Source organism: Homo sapiens, chromosome 5 (assembly GCF_000001405.40).
Source record: "Homo sapiens chromosome 5, GRCh38.p14 Primary Assembly".
In the NCBI taxonomy this organism is placed as follows: Eukaryota; Metazoa; Chordata; class Mammalia; order Primates; family Hominidae; genus Homo; species Homo sapiens.
In genome coordinates this window covers 179,335,514-179,356,980 of record NC_000005.10, presented here as the reverse complement: position 1 = coordinate 179,356,980, position 21,467 = coordinate 179,335,514, and the positions used below count along the sequence as shown (strand labels likewise).

The window sequence follows — 21,467 nt, the reverse complement described above, 5'->3', positions numbered from 1 at the left end:
GCTAAGTCCTGGTCCCCTACCTCCTTTCCCTCACTTCACATTTGTCGTTTCATCGCACACATATGCTCATCTTTATATTTACATATATATAATTTTTATATATGGCTTGTGAAATATGCCAGACGAGGGATGAAATAGTCCTGAAAACAGCTGGAAAATTATGCAACAGTGGGGAGATTGGGCACATGTACATTCTGTACTGCAAAGTTGCACAACAGACCAAGTTTGTTATAAGTGAGGCTGGGTGGTTTTTATTTTTTCTCTAGGACAACAGCTTGCCTGGTGGAGTAGGCCTCCTGCAGAAGGCATTTTCTTAGGAGCCTCAACTTCCCCAAGAAGAGGAGAGGGCGAGACTGGAGTTGTGCTGGCAGCACAGAGACAAGGGGGCACGGCAGGACTGCAGCCTGCAGAGGGGCTGGAGAAGCGGAGGCTGGCACCCAGTGGCCAGCGAGGCCCAGGTCCAAGTCCAGCGAGGTCGAGGTCTAGAGTACAGCAAGGCCAAGGTCCAAGGTCAGTGAGTCTAAGGTCCATGGTCAGTGAGGCTGAGACCCAGGGTCCAATGAGGCCAAGGTCCAGAGTCCAGTAAGGCCGAGATCCAGGGTCCAGGGAGGTCAAGGTCCAGGATCCTGTGATGCTGAGGCCCAGGGTCCAATGATTCTGAGGTCCAAGGTCCAGGGAGGCTGAGGCCAAAGGTCCAGTGAGGTCAAGGTCCAGGGTCCAATAAGGCCAGGGTCTATAGGGTCCAGTGAGGCTGAGGTCCAGGGTCCAGGGAGGCTGAGGTCCAAGGTCCAGTGAGGCTGAAGCCTAGGGTCCAGTGAGGCCAAGATCCAGGGTCCAGCAAGGCCAAGGTCGAAGGTCCAGTGAGACTGAGGTCTAGGGTCCAGGAAGGTCAAGATCCAAGGTCAGTGAGGCCAAGGTCCAGGGTCCAATAAGGTCATGGTCTAGGGTTTAGTGAGGCTGAGGTCCAAGGTCAAGCAAGGCCAGAGTCTGAGGCCCAGCAAGGCTGAAGTCTAGGGTCTAGCAAGGCCAAGATCCAGTGAGACTATGGTCCAGGGTTCAGTGAGGCCAAGGTCCACAGCCTGGTAAGGCCAAGGTCCAAGGTCCAGTGAGGCTGAGGCCCAGGGTTCTGCATGGCTGAGGTCCATGATCCAGCAAAGCTGACACCTGGTCCTAGCGTGGCCACTGCTCAGTGAGATGGAGGACCAGGGTCCAGCCTGGGCAGAGGCTGAGACCTGGGACCGAGCAAGGCCAAATCCCAGTTTCCAGTGAGAGTGAGGTCTTTCGGAGACATTTGTTTCCCTGCTGCCATGTGTCAGGTGGGTGGAATTATCTGCTAACTTCTGATGAGTCTTGAAGCAAGCTGCCTCTCACTCCCTGTTGATCCCAGGGCTTAGGCTCTTCCTCTGCAGTGATGGCTTGTCTGGGACCACCTGGCTCTGCAGTTCTCAGGTCCAGCCACTGTCTCTCTTGTGCCCAGGAGGATGCAGGAGAGGAGGGGCTTGGTCATTCAGACCAGGGTTGGGTCATTCCTGGAGCCACCTGGCCGGGGGACTCTGCTCTTTCTCAGCTATGCACCTCATCATCGCACAGATTCAAACCAATAAAGGGAAACCAGTGATAGCTCCAATCAGTTCAAAACCTCCATTGTCAATGTCCACTTTCGGTGTGAGAGACGTGCTTTACTATGTTTATGAGGAAGATCTGAGGGTCTCAGGTGACCTCCAGGATAACAGTGCGGCTGATCATGCAATTTGTCTGCTCTATCATTGAAGACAATATTATGGCCAACAGCATCCTTCTGTCTAGGCTGTGTCTGAAATGCCGTGGAGAATAAGGGGTCTGGGGGAACTTCCAATCAGAGGGTCTGTGGAGTGGCTCAGGATGGGAAGAGCCTCAGGAGGAGAACACACTGTGGCACAGACCCATAGGAAGGGATCTTCTGGGCAGCAGCTTCTCATCCTGTAGGCACAGGGTCCTAGGATGCACCAAGCATGGGGCAGAGGCCCTGGGCTCTATAATGATGGGAAATGCTGTGGTCCTGGGCTTTGGGGTGCCTTGAGAACAGAGAGACACTGTAGTCTCAGCTGCCCCAGGAGGCAGGTCAGTGGCCCTTATCACCACTGCAAGCCCTAGATGAGCTGGCAGCTCCCGTCCATAGCAGGCGGCTGGCCGAGGCCAGAGACAGCTTGCAGTGTGGCCCATGCTGAGGGTTGCTAAGGAGTCTCAGGGCTCAGACGGAACTCCAGACAGCCTTGCTGCTGTGGCCTCTCTGAACGGAGATGGGAAATCGCCATGGGGTAACGGCAGCCGCCTCAAAGTCATTCGATTTCCTCTATCTCATTTTCAGAAATGCAATTAGGGAGGCCGGGGCACCGTGTGGGCTCTGGAGCGTGCGTCTGCGTGTCTGGGTCTGTGGGCGTTTGCGGGCTGCAAGTTGGCGTGTGTCTGCATGCCTGCTAGTGCACGTGCATCACCACATGTGTGTGCTGTGGTACGAGTGTGTGCATACAGGCGTGTGCAAGTGAACACTCTCGCCTCTGGGCTCCTGGAGAAGTCACCCATTCAGCACCCTGAATCAGCTTCTGTTCCCTTTCACATCAATTTGCTGGGGAGTCCCCCAGCCTTGAGACGACAGTATTCCCGTGGCACTCCCCTCCAGCCTTGCACCCCTACCTCCCCATCCTCCCTCCCAGCAGCCTGTGCATTCAGACTTAGGTTTGGAAGGCCTTGGGGATGGTCTCTTCCTCAGGTCACTGTCCCTATCTGCAGCCGAAGAGCAGGACCTCTTAATAGGTAGCAGGGGGCCACCGGTGCCACATGGGGACAGGAAAAGGAGCATTTTGGAAAGTTCTAGCAGCTGAAGCCATCATAGAGGTCCCTGTGTGAGACAGCAGAGAAGCCTGGGCTACAGAGGTTCCCCTGGGCTGCCCCAGCCATGCAGGGACCCCTGACCCAGCTTCTCCAACCAACAAGGCAGAGGTGGGCTCTGCAGCACACGGGCTAGAGGCCACAGGCCCAGGGGCCAGGTGGCTGTGTGCAGAACGTGAGGGTCTGGAAACCTCCACTCCAGCTTGTGGATGCCCCATGGCACAGCGGGCCCAGAGGAGCCAGTTGGGCTTTTTTTTTTTTTTTCATGGAAGCCAGAGCTGCATGTTTTCATGGGCAGTCTTTTGCTTTTTTAAATCTTAGCAACTAATTTGAGTTTAAAAATAAAACCCTATAGGCCACCAGTGGGCAGCCCCTTATGCAACACTTAGGATAGGATGCTTGAGTTTGTGAGTGACAGTAAATGACTCCATGACCCTCCAGGCCGAGTGGGGCTTCACGGGAAGATGCTGGACCCCAGAAGGCCTGGGGTCTCAGAAGCCTCTGGACACCCCCATATAGGGTGAACGTTGGAGTCTAGGGGTTCGATCTGCCTTTGAACCCTCAGGGTCTGCCGTCCCTGAGTGTCAGCCTCTTCACCTGCAAGTGGGATGCTGCAGTTCCACCTTGCAGGCAGTCATGAGGCTCAGGGGAGGCAGTTTATGAAGACCTTGGCTAATTCACCTGCAGCGGTGCCCAATGACGGCATCTTTCTGCTCTGGTGGGAGAGGAAACTGCAGGGTCCAGCTGACCCAGTCACCTTTGATCTGGGCAGATGAGGGTGGTCTTGGGGTAGAAACGTGCATGATCCTTCTCCTCAGAAGAGGGCTGGGGACCCCTCAACCAGTGTCCCAGTGAGAGATCTTAGTTCCCAGGGCATTTTGCAGTGAGCATGATCTTGCTTCCTTCCTCTCCTTTTTTTCTTTTTTTTTTGAGACGGAGTCTCACTCTGTCACCCAGGCTGGAGTGCAGTGGCGCAATCTTGGCTCACTGCAAGCTCCGCCTCCTGGCCTCACGCCATTCTCCTGCCTCAGCCTCCCGAGTTGCTGGGACTACAGGTGCCCGCCAGCACACCCGGCTATTTTTTTTTTTTTTTGTATTTTTAGTAGAGACGGGGTTTCACTGTGTTAGCCAGGATGGTCTCGATCTCCTGACCTCGTGATCTGCCCACCTCGGCCTCCCAAAGTGCTGGGATTACAGGCGTGAGCCACCGTGCCCGGCTCCTTCCTCTACTTTAAACTCTCCGCTTAGAACAAAATGCAAACTCCTGGCTGAGACCCACAAGGCCCTGTCTCCTCGACAGTTTCCTCTCTCACTCCATCTCCTCCTGCTCTCTCCTGTTCTCACCACCTTTTTGCTGCGCTGCTCTTGCTTTTCCTGGAGCACAGAAAGCTCTTTCTTGTCTCAGGGCCTCTGCATGTGCCGTCTCTCTGCTTGAGGTGCTCACCGTGTAAGCCACTCTTCCCGGGAAATTCTCTCTGATTAGCTTTTAGCCTAAACCTCCCCCTTCCACCCTCCACCACCTTTGTCACACGTGTTTGATGTCACCTGCCTCTTTTATCTCCTTCATGGCATCTATCTTTGGAAATCGTTTTATTTGTTTGATTGGTCCTACAAATATTTACTGCACACCTACTATGTGCCAGGCTGTGTTTTGTCAATTGCCATATTTTCTACAAGACTTTGGCGAGGTTACCCGTCCAAAGTCAACCCTGGCATCCTACCATTAATGTCCTACCGTACCGTCAGGGTTTGGTTCTAAAGTCAGTGGCGGCATGAAGAAGGCCATGGTCAAAATACTCTGCAAATTTCCAGCGTCCACAGTGTTGTGTTTCTGGCCCAATACTGCACTATGGGTACAGCCATGTACAGGAAGTCATGGAGAGCAGTACTAGCAAAGGTACCGGTGCTGACTCTGTGAGGATCAGTTGTGAGCCCCACATATGTGGTCAATCATTTGATTCTCAACCAGGTATGGTAGCTCACACCTGTAATCCCAGCACTTTACGAGGCCATGGTAGGTGGATCACTTGAGCCCAAGTGTTCAAGACCAGCCTGGGCAGCAAGACCCTGTCTCTACAAAATATAAAATATTAGCCAGGCACAGTGCTACGCGCCTGCGGCCCCAGCTACTTGATTGGCTGAGGTGGGAGGATCACTTGAACCTAGAATGTTGAGGCTGCAGTGTGCTGTGATCATGCCGCTGCACTCAGTCTGGGCAGCAGAGTGAGATCCGGTCTCAAAAAAACATATCATTTGATTCTGAAAACTGCCCTGTGATGAGGTATTATCGTGCCCAATACAGACTTTAAGAAACTGAGGCACGAGAGGTTAACTTTCCCAAGGGCACACGGCTGGAAAGGGGAGTTGAAATAATCTAAGCCAATGAGCCCTGGTGGAGTTCCCCTCTCAGCAACCCCAGGAAACCAGGCTCCCTGCTACCCAGGACAGCTATGCCCACAGGGTGGGGCAGGAGCCCTCCAGCTAGGAGATGGGCCTCATTATTCCAAAGAACATTGGCACTTTCAGCCACCAACCTGTTTCAGGGGCTGCTCACGTCTACCCTCTGCTGAAAACAAATATAAGTCATGCTCAAGCTTTGCTCCAGACTGGGAGGGAGGTGTGCAAGCCCCCTCCAATGAGGAGACAGAGGCAAGCATAAGAAGATGCGTGCTGTGTGCAGGTCATTGTGTGTGGGGTGCCGTCCTGGAGCCGCCCCCTTCTGACTAGCAGGAGAGGAAGTCACTTGAGCCCACGGGCTCAATTTCAGGCATCTAGTGCCCAACGGGGCTGGTCCTGTGGGTGCTCCGTCATGTCAGGGAGGGGTATCGAGGCTGGGGTAGAGGGGGTGGTAGGGAGGGGGTGCAGACTGGAGAGTGCTTTCATGTGGGGGTAAAGGAATGGAGGGGACCGAGATGCCCCTGGGTCCCTGGCTGCAGGGAGCCTGCAGGGAGAATGGAGACGCCGGATGCTGAGCCCAAGGGGACTGGGCCGAGGCTGGGGCCAGGCTGGAGATGGGGCAGTTCTGGGTGGGTGAGTTGGTAAGGCTCTGAGATATCTTGATGCAGGTGGCTGAGGGAGCTGCATTTACGGTAGAATGAACCCAGCGGGTGGGCAGTCATCAGCACACCGGCTCTCACGAGCCTGTGGGAAAGGATGAGATTGCCCAGGAAGCGGAGGGCTCAGGGACCAGCCCTAAGGACTGGCCTTGGGTCAGTATGAAGAGAAAAGGCTTCTCCTCCTGAGGGGTGGCCCAGAGCCAGACCTGTAGAGAGCTGCAGAAACACTGGGCACAGGGATGATTTAGTTCATTTTCAAAAACCCAACAAACTTTAAAAAAATTACCAAAAGGATACAAACATATCTTTTCTTTGTTTCTTTCTTTTTTTTTCTTGGAACCCTCAGAGGAAGGGGACACCATTTTGCAGGGAGCAAAGGTACCAGTTCCTCCAGGACCCCCACTTTCAGTGTCCTGGGATTTGTGTCCAGTCTCGGTGTTTCTGCAGAGGAAGAAGGACCCCTGGAACTGTTGGCAGGAGCAGCTAAGAAGGTCGCTCCTACCAGCGAGAGGAGGGACCCTTCTCCCTTCTGGAGGAGAAGTGGGAAGTGGGGTCCCCAAGGCTGTAGAGATGGCCGGAGCCCCCCAGCCATGCACCCAGAGTTTTCCTCCCACCACGGTCTTCGTCTTAGGGCTTCATCATGGGCACTGTAGCCCTGAAGTCCCAGCCAGAAGCTTCGGTGTCTTTAAGGCCCACATCCTTGATCCCGTGAACTGGGAAGGGTCAGGCTGGACTGGATGGAAGGACATTGCCACAGAGGGTGACCTAAAGGTAATGAAGCCCCAGAGGCCAGGGATCCTGGGGATCTAGCAAGGCCTGGGCTGGGGTCACCGATGGCTTTCCTCAAAATCTAGGAAGTAAGGAAGCGTCCAGACAGGCTTAGAAAAGGCTTTGAACACAGATCTCCATAATGTAATAGAACTGGGCCCTTCACTAGTTACCTACAGGATTTACATAAAAAGAAAGGAATTCTGCATGCTGTACAGATGGTGTAGTATAGGAGTGGGACACAAATATAGCGTCACATGGGAAAAACTTCTTTTGCCAGGCAGGAGGATGCCTGGGACTATGCAATACTCTGATTTGGAAATAAAGACAGAAGGCAATGCTGGGGGCACTGGGGTAGACGCGATGGTTAATCCAGGTTTGTCCCAGTCATCCCTTCACCCACCGCCTGTCAGCAACTGGTTCAGCAAATGACCCAGCCTTGGCCCACAGACCACAGGGGAGACAGCGGTCCTTCTGGGAGAGGGCAGTGCACCTGTGCTTTGGCCATCCTTCTACCTGGTTGGGGCAAAGATGCTAGGCAGGCAGCAGGGCCCTTGGTGCTGCGGTTAAGCTCCGTGGCCACCACACCTGTAGACTTCCGGGTGCGTGAGCTGATGCATTTCCTCATGGTTTAAGCTGGCTGTCTTACTTGCAGCCAGGAGCATCCTGAGGGACCCAAAGGCCTTTCCCAGATGAGGGGGCTGGACAAAATGGCCCCCGACCCCAGACAGGGGCCAGACACAGGTGAACCCAGAGATTTAGACCCCAGCTCAAGTGGCGTCACTGCCTGACACACCCAGATAGCCCCTTTAAAATTTTTCTCTGTTCTCTCTGCTAGGCTGAGCATATGTGTAAGTGGACAATCACAGATAGGCATTAAGCTACATCCTTCCCTGGGCCATTAATGCTTAGACTGAGTCTGAGTCTCCATCTTGCATCTCCATGTAGAAATGTTAACTGAGCCCTGATCCCCAAGCCTCCAAACCTCAAGCACTTTGTCTTCCACTTCCAGGCAGAATCGATCTCAGTGGCGAGGGGATGCCTCCGTGCTGCAATGGCAGTAAAAACAATTGCTACTGAAACACCACCCACGTTTCCTCTTTTGCTGGACACGGCTCCCTATTAAAGTGTGTACATGGCGTCGGGGAGGGGCACGCTCAAGAAACAGCAAGAACCACACTTCCTAGAGGCCACCCAGCCTCCACATTCTGTTCAATCAGCATTCCCTTGACATATGGCTCACCAGGGCCACTCCCGGCCAGAACTCCGCCAGAGCATCTGATGGGACCACTGCACCCGCTGTTTGCCAACAGCAAAGTTGGACAGAGCTGCTGTCCTCAAGGCCCCTCGACAAGGTAACTAGCCCCTCATGCTTGGCCCGCTCTGCACACAGGCACCAGTGAGACTAAAAGAGTCCAGCTCCTTTCCCACAGCCCCTAAGAGCTTGTTTGTCATTAGGGAGGGCACTGAAACCTCACTGCCTCCATCTGCTTGGCAGGTTGTGCCAAGAAAGGTGACTTTGTCAAAGGGCAGGAGACCTTCTCAGGGGCTGGTTTCTGTGCAGACATTAGGAGACAGCAGTGGCTCTCAAATGGGCTCCTGTCTTTAATGAAGTCTGTGCTGACAAATGTGACCTGGAAGCCTGAGCCAGACCAGGGAGCCCGACCCTCCTCTCAGGGCAAGGCAGGGCACCCACCCACTGAGAGCTGTGGTGGGCAACAAACATTCCTCCTCCTTAGTGTTTCTTCTGCCAGGGATGTGGGGTGACTCGTGGCACCCAAGATGACCCGGAAAGGTCCTCACCTCTTTCTGCACCACACAACTTTGGGAAGATTTTAAGGGGGTTGGGTGTGTAAGGCCCGAGCTGACGCTGACTTGTCCTCACTCCTCCCTACAAACACTGGGCTTCTCGGTGAGGGTGACAACTCCAGGTTTTCAGGGATCATGGTGCTGACAATCACGAGCAATAGGCAGGTGTAGGGCAACAGGGGGTGGTGAGGACTGCGGTAAGCTGGAGAGCACAGCCAGACCTGAAGACATTCAGGCTCCAGTAGAAACGAACGCACGTGGCATGTGCTCAACAACACATCCGGCGGCGTTGGCCCAGTGGCCCTTAGTTTTTGTCGTTGGGACCTAGACTGAACATGCAGAGGAGCAGAGAGCCACTGGGGACTTCTATGTCCCGTATTTTACCTGGAAGAGGAAAAGGGGGACCAGAGAAAGAGGCAAACACCAGTAAGGGGGGAGAGGCAAGATTTGAATCATGGAGGTTTGAAGAAGTAGCAAGATTTTTGTTGTTGTTCTTTGGTTGTTTTTTGTTTTTCTGTTTGTTTCTGAGTGGAGGACAAATGATCACGGGCTGGGATGTGTCTGCAAGTCTCCTCCACCTCCCTGAGGGTTTAACTGTGAAGTTAGGTGCATGTGAGCCTTGTTCATCCACCACCCTGGTGGGTGACAGTGGGGGCACTAAAGGAAGGGCCAGGCAAGGGTGCTGCTCCATCCCCAACTCATCCCTGGTGGCAGGGGCACGGGTGATGTGGGAAGAATCAGCTGCCTGGGGTTATTCAGTGTCCAGGAGACAAATTCTTTCCCCCAAAAATATCCCAAAGCAAGTATCCCAAAGTATACAAAATAATTTAGCTCTGTGAACCTGTTAGAAGATGCCATCAACTCATAAAGTCAGAGTTACTCCTTTTCAGGCCTCCTTTCATCCTTCCAATCACATCAGAACAACGACCTCTGTGCTAGTCCATCTTAAGGCTTTTGTAACACTTACTAATCAGCTTCAGCCTTCGGTATCTTTAGCAGGTCAAAGTATCTGGAATTTGATAACATTTCTCTTCTTGTTGTATTTATTTTTAGCAATTATCTTTGATTTATGGAAACATGGTGAGATGCTGGCTTTTCCATTTATAGTAGTGATTTAAAGTATCCTTTAAAAAATTGAAAAAAGTTTTAGGCGCTGTGTAAAGAAATACCCAACCATAGACACGGCAGGAAGGTGCAGAACATGCCCCTTGAAGTAGGGGCGGCTGCTGGTTGGGTTTCACTCGTGTTTCGAAGAGGATGGAAGCGCTGACAACCACAGGAGGAATGCGTCATGGGTTCCAGGACAGCAACTGGCTGGACCCAACTCTGGGCTGCCTAGCTCCCCCAGCCTTCACAATTCAACTCATGCCACCTCTTACAGGAAGTCCTCCTGGATGCCCAGCTCTGGAGTCATCTCTGTGGTATACTAGGATTCCAGTTCCAACTTTCTCTGGAACCAGTTGGGTCATCACAGGTCACGAGAGCAGATGCCTACAGAGAGTGAGGAGAGGCGGGACCTGCCACAAACTGCAAGGTAAGTGCCCATTTAATGGTTGCTAAGCAGGACTGTGGGGCTAGCGTGGCCACATCTTCCAATATCTCAAGAAAAGTTACCAATCTAAATTTCCATGTGACATCTCACCATGCCTGGGAGCTGGATCCAGCCTCGGGCACCCTTAGGTGACACAGAAAGAGTACAGCTTGCAGGTGAAGATGGCTGTCCAGCTGCGATGCTCTCACACCCAGGACCCACAATCGAAAGAACCAAGGACGTGAGATCACAGTTAGAGCCTGCTGTGTAAGTCGTGTTTCCCCCAACGACTGGGACCTCCTGGCCAGCAGGGAGAGGCCTGAGTCATCTCCGGGTCCTCTGCCCCTGGCCAAAGCAAAGACCAAAGCCCTGGCCACACAGACCTGGGGCAGGGCAAATGAGAAAATCAAAGGGGTGGGTGTTCACCCTCTGGGGAAGTGAGGCAGAAATTGGGGGTCCCAGGGCAGAGATGATCAACAGCCTGAGAGGGGGCTCTCAGGCAGGCCCTGGAGAGAGGCCGCTGAGCTCAGACAGCATGGGAGGATCAGGGCCTTGCTGGAGAGGAGGGACTGGGGAGGGGTTCCGGTTGGCAACGGGCTCTAACAGCAAACTGGCCCCAGAATGGGCCCAGGTGTCCTTGGATGCTTGGGTGGAAAAGGTAGGCAGAGCTTGGAGAGGCCATTTCAGGTTGGGGGCCGGGAGTGCAATGGCGGGAGGACAGAATGCATACGTGGGGTTGAGGACAGGTGAGGGCAGGAGCCTGACTGTGCTCATGGGCAGAGAGCCCAGGTCTGGCAGGAAGAGGCTGTGCTGAGGCTGCAGCGGAGGGATGGGAAGGCAGATGGGGGACAGGGGACAGGGACTTCAGAGGAAGAGGAACTGGGGACTGAAGGAGCCTTGCCTCTCTCAGTAAGGGCAAAAGTTGATCTTTGGGGTCGCGCCCTGGGTGTACCCTCCTAACAGCATCTTCTGGCCTTTGCGGCCTCTATTTGGGCATTCGGCCTGGCTCAGACCTTGGACCCAGTAGTCAGTCCCCCCTCCCCTTTCATTCCCTCACCCTGTCCTGCCCCAGAGCACAGAGACAGGGGGATGCACCCCTTGAATTCCAGGGCTGATGGGTGGGACCCGGCACCCCAAGGGCTCTCTAGGTGGGGACGTTCGGCCGGCGCCGCTCCTCGGAGGTTGTGCCCCTGGGGTGGCTGGCGGCGGGGCTCCCCCGGCCCGGCCCGCGGCGCTTCTCTGCCGCCGCCTCGGGGTGTCTCTGCTTCGCTGCGAGCCCGGCACCGCGGCGACGGCGGCGCGAAGAGGGAAGCGGGCGGCGGCGGCGGCCGCGCCAAGATGCGCCGGGTCACCGCAGGCTGAGGCGCCCGCCGTCCCCGCCCTCCCCCTCGCTCGCCTCCCTCCCTCCCGCCTGCCTCCCTCGCTCGCTCGCTCCTTCCCTCTCCCCGCCTTCCCTCCGCGCTCCCCCGCCCGCCCCTCCGCGCCTCGCCTCCTCCGCCCCGCGCCCTGCGGTGCTGCAGCTGCGGGCGGCTCCAGCTGCCCCCAGATGTGGGCTGGGCGGCTCGCGGGGAACTTTCGCGCCGGCTGCGAGTGCGGGGCCCCGGCTGCAGTCCGGCTGCCATGGATCCGCCGGCGGGAGCCGCTCGCCGCCTGCTCTGCCCCGCGCTGCTGCTGCTGCTGCTGCTGCTGCCGCCGCCGCTCCTGCCGCCGCCGCCGCCGCCCGCGAACGCCAGGCTCGCCGCCGCCGCCGACCCCCCAGGTAGGTGCGGCCCGGCCCCTACTCCCCGGGACCCCCGCCGGCCTGGCCCTGTCCCGCGTGCCCCGCCGCCCCCTCCCCAGGCGTCGTCCAGCCTGACTTGGGCAAACTCCGCGCGCCCCGCCCGGGGCCAAGTTGGCCAACTTCGGGGCCGGGTTGGTCGCGCAGGGGGCGCCCCGCACCGCCCCCGAGCGCCTTGGGCCGGGGGAGCCTCGGAGCACTGGCGGCTCCTGAGTCGCGGAGGGTGGGGACGGAGGGCCGGGAAAAGCCCCGCGGCCAAGAGCGCAGAGTCAGCCCCAGCGGGTCCGAGGGGGGAGCCAGGGCGAGGCGGCGCCGGGGCTCGCGTCCGGGGACGCTCCGGAGGAGCCGGCTGCCGAGCGCGTAGCCTTGGGCCCTAAGGATTGGTTGGGGCGCCCCGCAGGGAATCCCCGGAGATCGGAGGGACCCTGTTCCACCCCTCCCAGTCCTCGGGCGCTCGGGGAGACGGGGCCGGCAGCGGGCTGAGCGGGAGCTGGACAGGCAGGACAGGCCGCTCGTGCTCGGGGAAGCCGAGACTCCGCCGCTCCGGAGGCTGGCGGTGAGGGCACTCGGGCGGCAGGGGCCCGCCGAGGGGTCGTGGCACACGGGTAAGGGGGCCAACCCGGAATGGCTTCCGAGCAGCTCCACGTCCTGCCAAGGACGGTAGGTGCAAGGGTCGGGGGACTCTCTGACGGGGTCGTCCCTTCGGGCACGGGGAGGTTCCCACCGAGCCCCAACCCTGAACGGGGCAGGGGGCAGAGCTCTTGGCAGGCAAGGTCTCCGGAGGAGGGAACGGCTGGGGAGTGGCGGAGCCCCGGAGTGGTGGCCCTGTTAACGCCCCTTCCCGGTTGCAGGAAAGCCGGGGAGGTGCAGGCTGGCTTCTGGGGTCGCCTGGCGGAATGCCCCTTCCCTTCGCAGTGGGGCGGGGTCTGGGGGGGCGTGGCTTGCCGGCGGGTCTCTGAGGCACTGGGGCTCCGTGGTCTCCGCCGATCTAACGCCCCTTCCCGTTGCAGGCGGGCCCCTGGGGCACGGAGCGGAGCGCATCCTGGCGGTGCCCGTGCGCACTGACGCCCAGGGCCGCTTGGTGTCCCACGTGGTGTCGGCAGCTACGTCCAGAGCAGGGGTACGAGCCCGCAGGGCCGCCCCGGTCCGGACCCCGAGCTTCCCCGGAGGCAACGAGGAGGAGCCTGGCAGTCACCTCTTCTACAATGTCACGGTCTTTGGCCGAGACCTGCACCTGCGGCTGCGGCCCAACGCCCGCCTCGTGGCGCCCGGGGCCACTATGGAGTGGCAGGGCGAGAAGGGCACCACCCGCGTGGAGCCCCTGCTCGGGAGCTGTCTCTACGTCGGAGACGTGGCCGGCCTAGCCGAAGCCTCCTCTGTGGCGCTCAGCAACTGCGATGGGCTGGTGAGTACGCACTTCTCTAGCTCCTTTCTCTCCGCTGCTCTCGCCTGGGTTTTGGAAAAGGGTTACCTGGGAGTCCCTTGGGAGGGCAAGGCCTGCGCTGAGGACTTTCCGCGCCCTTCCCGTGCTTTAGTGAGCCTCGTGCTCCAACTGAAGGGCTTGGCTGGAAAGCAGGTTGTTTTGACTGGTCTGAGCAGGGGGCCATTTATGCATGGGGAGCGCCCGGGTCTCCAAAAGGCTCAGCAGGCAGGAGCGTGCGCCTCTCTCTTTTGCCTGCCTGAACAGGTCTCTGGCTTGCATCCGGGGGTGGGTCCGTGTATGTGTGTGTACCTTTGTGAGTGTGTGCACATGTGTTGTGGAACGTTGGTGTGTACCTGCATCTGGGTGCCCGTGCACCTGTGTGAACATGTGCGTGTGCCAGTGTCTCTTGTGCACGTATGTGTCTGGGTTTCTGCACATCAGTGTGTTGAGCATCTGTTGAGTTTGTGTCCGTCCTTGTGCATACTGGCGTGATATGTGTGTGGTGGACTTATGGGCTGGCAGTCAGTCTTCCTGTTTCCTTGCGTGCGGGTAATACCAGCCCAGGGAGCTGGCAGTGATGCTGAAATGCCCAGTTAGCCCTCTGCCCCTTGGCTGACCGGGAATCATTGGTTTTTCTGCTGTGGTTTCCTGTTGAACTCCAGCTGGTTCTTTGAAAAGTTGGTTTTCTCTATTTTGAGCTGAGGGGTGCATTTGGAAATGAAGGCTCTAGTGCCCATGAGCTGCTCGATCTTTTGGGGGCAGCGCCTGAAGGACAAGAGAGAGGCTAGGGGATCCCTTTTGAGACTGCCTGCGCCTCTCTAGTCCTGTGACTGGAGCTCTGGGAAGCTCTGCTTCCTGGAGAGGGCAGGAGGGACCGTGGCTCAGCACAAGGGGGCCTCAGAGGAAGCCTGGATCGATGCTGAGGGAGGAGGCTGACATTGGCGGTGCTCTGTCCGGCTGCCCGGGGCCTGGCACACAGCAGAGGCCACTGCAGTTTTCTATTTTGGATTGGGTGTGTGGTGGTCAGGCTGGCTGTGCTGGCCAGACATCTGAAGCCGCCCACCATGGGTTCCGCTCTAATTGCTACTCAGGGAACTCCTGCCCCGAGTGAGTGGCCACTCTCCCAGCCCCCGTGGCCCCTGAGCACGCCCGTACTCGGGCAGCTGAGGCTCATCCTACAGTCTGCAGAGCCGGCAATTACACCAGGGCTCTGCAACCACTGTCATTCTTTTTATGGAGACACAGAAAATATCACTTGTTGCTTTGGAAAATCACTGCCTTTGGCTGGATTTAGTTAGAACTTGGCCATATTGCAAACAACTGTAAATATCCCTGGAGGAGCTGGGTTAAAATGGTGAGCCCTTGACATCGCCCACTGTCTCTGAGGACATCCTGGGCCTCAGAGGTGTGTCCCATTTTACGCTGGAGGTTAATTTCCTAAATGAAAGGAGATGTTTGCTGCGGACTTAGGGTGAGGTAAGGTGGTGGGAGTTGACATGGGGTTGCAGTCTGTTGGTGGGCCAACACCTGTGTACTATGCATTCCTGATGGAGAGCATTTTGGGGAGGACTTGTCACTGTTTCATTCATTCAGCAGTTCATTTGGTGATTCATTTTTCAGCCAGCACCTTCTCATATGTTTATCCCCTGTACTGGTCAGCAATGAGGCAGGTCTGGTACCCACCCAGGGCTCCTGTCGTCAGGGTGGCTGACGGACACTCTGGCCAGGACTTGGAGAGTGTGCTCCTGGGGGGCTGTTTGAATGGGGGCTGGAAGAATGAGTGGCCAGCTGGAAAAGACGCAGGTTGGCAACCCGGGCAGAGGGAGGAGCGTGTGCAGAGGTACCAGGTGTGGATTGGCCTGGGCAGGACAGGCCTGCTGAAGTGTCCCATGTACCAGACAGAGCTGGGAAGAATATTGGGGTTGGAAGAGGAGCTGGGACCTGCCTGAGCGGCATTGAATGCTGTCACTGAATAATGGCCTTGGACAGTGGGACAGCACCATTGGTTCTGTTTTCTTTTTTTTTTTTTTTTTTGAGACGGAGTCTCACTCTATTACCCAGGCTGGAGTGCAGTGGCGCGATCTCAGCTCACTGCAAGCGCTCTGCCTTCCGGGTTCACGCCATTCTCCTGCCTCAGCCTCCCAAGTAGCAGGGACTACAGGCGCCTGCCACCACGTGCAGCTAATTTTTTTTTATTTTTTTTTTAATTTTTAGTAGAGACGGTGTTTCACCGTGTTAGCCAGGGTGGTCTCAATCTCCTGACCTTGTGATCTGCCTGCCTCGGCCTCCTAAAGTGCTGGGATTACAGGCATGAGCCACTGCGCCCAGCCTCTTTTCTTTTCGCTTGTCCTCTTTCTCTTCTCTTCTCTTTCCTTCCTTCCTTCCTTCCTTTTTTTCTTTCTTTCTTTCCTTTTGATCAGGCTGGTCTCAAACTCCCGACCTCAAGCGATCTGCCCATCTTGGCCTCCTAAAGTGCTGGGATTACAGGCCTCAGCCACCGCGCCCGGCCTCTTCTTTCCTTTTCTGACTTTGTTGCTGCGTATGTGTCTGTCCTACTGTTAAATCCCCCTCTGCTGCCACCACGATAGGCTTCTTTGCTAAGGACCTGGGTCTTTACACAGGGCACCTCTTGTCCTCACAGAGCCCTGGTCGGGGAGGCATCTCATCCCTGGTTACAGGTGGAGCACTCAGGCTCTGGGAGGTTGAGTGACTAGACGGAAGTTATTCATAATAATATCCACAGCGAGGGGTTATTCATAGTATCCACAGCAAAATGTCCCTTTGCACAAGGCATGAGCAAAACAGGCTGCACAGAGTGGTGTTGTGCCTCACGTTGCTGCGGAAGAGTTTTCCAGTATCTCCTGGGCAGCGTGGTAGGCGTGCTAATTTCACGTGGTTTTTACATGCCCATTAAAAACCCAGTGAGAAGCCTTTTGGCGTAAAAGGTAATGATGGTAAGTGACAGTTGACTGTGTTCCTATTAACATTGTGTGCCAGGCTCTCAGCTGAGCCCCCTGTGCCACCTCGCCTTGTTTAATCCTCACAGCACCCTACGGAACATATCCCGACATCATCCCCCTTCTACAGATGAATAAACTGAGGCTCCAAAAGTCGAGATAGCTTGCTTCAAGCTTCGAAGCCAGTATTTGAACACAAATCTGATTCCAAGGCCATGCTCACTATGTTTTGTTGCCTTTTCCTGCATGCCTACAAAAAGAATTTTAAAAATGCATTTCTTTACAACATTTCCCACCTTTCTTATTTGACTCCTGGAGACGTTCTCATTGTGGGTTTGACCATCGTCAGTGTGAGTGGAGCCGGGAGCAGGCCTGGGAGCTGAGTGGCCTTGACTGGCTCGTGACCTGCGCTGGGCTGCAGCTCCTATGGGTGGCCTAAGTCCTCACTGGTGGGGGACTGCAGCTGGGACTTCCGTGGGATGGAAGCAACCCTGCCCGCCTCTGCCTCCCCACTCAGGGCAGCACGGGGATCCTCTCCTGCCAGGCTGGGCAGCAGTGGATGAAGCCTCCATGGGCTGGGCGGTGGAGATGGTCCGCCCTCCAAGGCCTGGTCCAATCCTGGGGCCCAAAGGAGGAAGTGTATGCCCTTCCCTGGATGCTTGATGCGAACCCCACAACCCTGTGAGATAGGGCTGCCCCACTGCGTGGCTGAGGCTCAGAGAGACCCAAGGTTGCATGGCAAGAAGAAATCCAGGGCTGCTGCCTTTCAGGCTGGGGCTCCCCTGCGGGGCTGCTGTCTGGGCCAGGCACCCACTCTGTCTTGCTGGACATTAAGAGTCATAAAGGCCACAGAGAGAAGTCAGAAGCCGGCCTAAGGGATTGAGATGAGTTTCATTTTTCCCAGCAAGGCTGCTGCCTTCGAGGCCACACACTGGGCTCCAGCAGGCTCAGGTGCTAGAGCAGATCAGGCAGGTGTGAGCGGGTCCTGGGACTGTGCAGTGGGGTGAGGGGCACCTGAGATTTGCAGCTGCCGCTGGTAGGGTCTTCCTTCCTCCCACCCCACCTTGGCACTGCCTGGATCGCAATGAGAGGTTGTCAGGAAGACTAAAGAGGGGCTGCAGGAACCTCTGGGTTCCCTAGGGTGTCGGGGCTCCCCAGGTAGGAGCAGAGGCTCCTGTGGGCCCCAGCTGCAAGCAGCCTACACAGCTGCTAAGGCCAGTCTCAGCCTCCGCCATACTTGTCACCTTAAGACTTGCTCAGTTTAAGTGACAGAAACCCCTGCTCATATTGGATGAAACAAACAAGGGACAGCATGGCCCCAATTATCTGGGGGTCCTGAGGAGTGTTGGCTTCAGGCCTGGCTGAATCCAGGGGCTCAGAGCATGCTATCCATTTCTCAGCCCTGCCTCTCAGTGTTCATTTCAGAATTGCTCTCCACCCCTCAACCCCCGGCCCACCAGCGGCTCCAGGCCCAACTCGTTTTCCAAGGAGGCAACCTTTGAGATGGAAAGCCCTCCTCTCTGGGTGACACCTGTGAGAGTTGGGGGAGGGATTGGAGGCCCATCTTCAAACCCATGGCTGTGATGCGGGCCTAGCCCAGGTCTCCTGCCCACCTTTGGGACTGAGGGGGAGGGACAGACTCCCAAACTCTGGAATGAAGAGGGGCCTATCATACAAGAAGGGAGGAGAATTGTGCAGGGTGGTGAACACGGTTGTGGCCACCCTTCTCCTGGACTCCAGACCCCATGTTGGGCTTAGAAGTCCTCCTGGGCTCCAGGCTTGCCTGCTCGGCTGCCTCTGGAACCCCCTTCCCTGGATGACCCCATACTCAAGTCACGTGGCTCTCCCCACTCTCCTCCAGACCCCACCCTTCCAGGATCGCCCTCCCCTAGCCAGCTCCAATTCTAGAGCTCTCTCAGGGCCCGGCTTCCCTCCACGCCTGGTGCCAACCCCTGCTTTCTGCTCTTGTACCCCCCACTGCCCCATGGTCTCTCCCCGACAACCCTTCTCCACTCTGCAGCCAGAGGGATTTTTAGAAACCATGCAGCAACTCATGTCACGCCTTCACTTAAGACCTCTCAGTGGTTCTTACTGCTCTTAAAAACATCCAAACCCACTGGCCTGGCATTCAAGGCCCCCGTGACCTGGTCAGGGCCCTCCAGCTCCGGCCTGAGTCGCCTGCTCTGCTGGTCTGGAATGAGACTCCGGGAGAAAGGGCTGCAGGAGGCAGAACTCCAGCGTTCCCCTCAGGTGCCCCTGGGAGGGTGGGGCAATGACTCCCTCCCCTGCTGCCTTACGTGAGCTGAGGGCCCCTACAGAGATGCCTGAGGGATCCAGCAGTGCAGCGCAGTCCCTCTGGAGGCGGCGGCCAGCCTCAGGAGGGGGTCCGGGGAGCAGCATCCACACCATCTACCTCTGCCTGGGGCTTTGAACCCAGTCCCTGCGGTTTTCCTGTGAGCCAGCCACCGTGGCCCCATTTCACAGGTAGGAAACCGAGGCTCTAGGAGTTACATATGCAGGTTCTCTGTGTGGGCTGGCGTCTCTCCTGGAATCCTTTAGGGAGGGGCAGAGTGGAGCCGGCTCCCAGCCCCTCATGAAGGCCGGCATAGTCAGCACTGGTCTCAGCCGGAGCCCAGCAAGGCCAGCTCTCCCTGAGAGAGCTGCACTCCATTGTGTGGCTGGGTATGTTTCTGGCACTGGTAAATGTGCGCGGCCATGTGCTCATTCAGGTGTGGCAGGCTTCTCCTGCCCAATGGCTCGCCGTGGCTTCCCTGTCCCCCATGTCTCCAGTGCTTAGCGAGTCATGCCTGAGTGAATGCAGGCCCTCCTGCAGAGTCAGCTGGGAGGTGAAGGCCAGGTCCTCACCCAGGCCTGCTGTGAGGCTCATAGGGGCCACACCTGGGTGAGTGAGTGAATTCAGGCCCTCGTGCAGAGTCAGCTGGGAGGTGAAGGCCAGGTCCTCACCCAGGCCTGCTGTGAGGCTCACAGGGGCCACACCTGGGTGAGTAAGGGAATCAGCCAGGGACATCCGCTCAGCAGCGAGGCTGGCTTTGCCTCGTGGCTGCCTGAGCTATGGTCTGGGCCTGCCCACTGTGGTATCTGAAGACCCAAAGAGGCAAGTGTGCATGGCAGCCCTCCTGGGACCCTGGGTCTGTGCTGGCAGGCAGACATGTCCTTCTTTACCCCACCTGCCTCTCTGGCTTGGGCAGCCCTGGGGGTCCCTGTGTTGCTGCCGGCACAGCAGGCTGGTGGCTGCATGTGGACGTGTGCGTGTCCTGGGCCTGTGCATGGCGGGAGTGTGTGCATGTACATGTTGCCTCTGCATGTCTTGCATGTAGGAGTACGTGCATGCAGTGTGCGTGTGGGGGTGCATATGTTTGTGCACGTCTGAATGAGTGTGTACACGTGTGTGCACATGAGTGTGTCTGCATGGGAGGGTGTGCATTTGAGTGAGCATGGGCCAGCATGTGTTTATGTATTTCTCGGGAGGGGTTTCCTGCACTCTGTAGAAGAGGGGCCTTAAGTGGGGTTGAGGTACTCAGGGGAGAGGAGGACCCCAGCCCCCTCAATCTTGGCGCCACGTTAGACACCCCCATCCCCTACTGGTGGTTACCCCGGAATGGGAGGATCCAGGTAGGAGCTGCACACTCTGCTGCGTATGTTTCATATTAAATATCAGCTGTCCACAGGGTCTGCGGTGCTGCCATTAATATGGAGAAGTTATTACCGAGCCCGGAGCTGGCTCCTCGGGCTTGTCCATGAATTTCAATTACACTGCACGACGACTCCAGGGCTGCAGAGTGGGGTGCACAGCTTCCGCTCAGAGGCACAGGGAACCCTAGTGTCCAGGACCAAGGCCTGGGTGCTGCTGAAGCCAGGCAGGCTCTACGCCATCCCCACCCTGCCTTGTGCATTTCACGGGTTAACCCAGGGAAGGCAGGGGCCTATTGTGGGCTGGAGGCTGTTGCGGGTCACATGGTCCGCTGTGCTCCTCGTGACCGGCAGGGTGGACAAGCACCACGATCCTGAGAACCTTAGTTCCTCCAATAGCAAAAGATGGGTTCTGTCCGCACGCACTTCAGTGGCAGTGAAAGGGTGGGTGTGCAGCAAGCGCCTACCCCAGGCCCGGGGGTGAGAAAGCGGTGGCCGTGTCTGCATATCATTAGCTCTAAGGTGCCATCGGTTACGGGACACACCATTACTTTATACGCCACCAAGAAAGAGGAGACACTCCCATTTAAACTGCAACTCTGTGCCTTGTGGTTCCCTGGAGGCGCGGGCCCCACTGCCACAGTGCTTGGTTTCTCTGATGCTGTCTGCAGCCTAATGGGTGGGCCATTTCTGCTGCCTGGCCGTCGCTTGTCACGGCTCCCGGGAACTGAGTTCGGTTGGCTTCGTCCGCCTCCGGGGGTCTTCCTCTTGTGAATTACGAAGTAGCGGTCCTTCCTCCAGGGATAGGTATTTGCCTCACCGATGCAAAGCTACATGCGCCTTTCTGCGTGCACCCTAACTTTTTGACCTCACAGCGTGACTCTTCAAAGACATTTTGAGTGTCCAGGGTGTTGACAGTGAGGGACTGCGTTGGAAGTGTCGTGGCCCAGGAGGCGGGGGCCAGGGCCGGGGCCTGAGACCCGCCGATTGCATCCTCAGTTCAGGGGTTGGGAAATGGAAAGATGCGTGTTGGGGGGACCAGCCTTCACCAGCTCTGTGCAGAATGTCCGGGATTCATCTTTAAACCTGGGTATTTTTCCTTTGAAAGCCCTAATCTGAAATTTCAATGTATTAAAAGTATTTCCAAGTGTTAAAGCCTGTCATCTTTACACCCGGGTATTTTTCCTTTGAAAACCCCTAAACGACAAGGTTTGGAGAGCTTTGGGTTGGTGAACAGGTGAGGTGCTGGGAGGGTGAGTGCCCAGAGAGGGCGTGGAGGCTCTGCAGCCCTTCCCGTTACCTTGCCCTGCCCATCCCTCCCACGCGGCTGTTTGAAAGCAGGGATTGGGAGCACATGGAAAGTAGGGTGTCTTCACGTTTCATGCAAGGCTTGTCTAAGGCTTGCTAGTGGCCATTCTGATTGGGACAGAGCTTCTGGACATATGATGAAAAGGGGCTTGAGAGCTGTGAGCATATTGGTATGTATTTACATCTGTCTATTTTATGGGTTATAGTACACCATCGCCAGTCAGTTGCAAATGAAACCTCAGGTTAAGCAGTACCGCAGATACATTCTACTTTTCCATCTTTCTGTTCTTGTACCAATATTAAGCTGTGTTTATTATTA

At 56.6% G+C, this 21,467-nt stretch overlaps 1 protein-coding gene and 1 long non-coding RNA gene across 3 annotated transcripts in view, besides 3 other annotated features; both read left to right on the top strand.

Moving 5' to 3' along the window:
• LOC105377759 (uncharacterized) lies at positions 7,726–10,620 on the top strand. Its single transcript, XR_941311.3, has 3 exons — positions 7,726–8,047; positions 9,883–10,035; positions 10,202–10,620. It is a non-coding gene; the product is annotated as an uncharacterized LOC105377759 (long non-coding RNA).
• The window catches only part of ADAMTS2 (ADAM metallopeptidase with thrombospondin type 1 motif 2), a 234,609-nt gene continuing 224,661 nt past the window's right edge, over positions 11,520–21,467 (top strand). For both annotated transcript variants that reach the window (NM_014244.5, NM_021599.4), the window contains exons 1-2: positions 11,520–11,791; positions 12,820–13,214. In NM_014244.5, coding sequence (NP_055059.2) covers positions 11,653–11,791; positions 12,820–13,214 — 534 coding nt within the window. In that variant the 5' untranslated portion in view covers positions 11,520–11,652. The remainder of the gene's footprint in view (positions 11,792–12,819; positions 13,215–21,467) is intronic.
• Positions 18,756–19,555: an enhancer, noted in NCBI's record as "H3K4me1 hESC enhancer chr5:178764427-178765226 (GRCh37/hg19 assembly coordinates)". NCBI's record gives its function as "activates a minimal SCP1, AML or CMV promoter by ChIP-STARR-seq in naive and primed H9 embryonic stem cells {active_cell/tissue: H9 hESC(naive and primed)}" and the evidence as "EXISTENCE:reporter gene assay evidence [ECO:0000049][PMID:30033119]".
• Positions 19,556–20,355: an enhancer, noted in NCBI's record as "H3K4me1 hESC enhancer chr5:178763627-178764426 (GRCh37/hg19 assembly coordinates)". NCBI's record gives its function as "activates a minimal SCP1, AML or CMV promoter by ChIP-STARR-seq in primed H9 embryonic stem cells {active_cell/tissue: H9 hESC(primed)}" and the evidence as "EXISTENCE:reporter gene assay evidence [ECO:0000049][PMID:30033119]".
• Positions 20,356–21,155: an enhancer, noted in NCBI's record as "H3K4me1 hESC enhancer chr5:178762827-178763626 (GRCh37/hg19 assembly coordinates)". NCBI's record gives its function as "activates a minimal SCP1, AML or CMV promoter by ChIP-STARR-seq in primed H9 embryonic stem cells {active_cell/tissue: H9 hESC(primed)}" and the evidence as "EXISTENCE:reporter gene assay evidence [ECO:0000049][PMID:30033119]".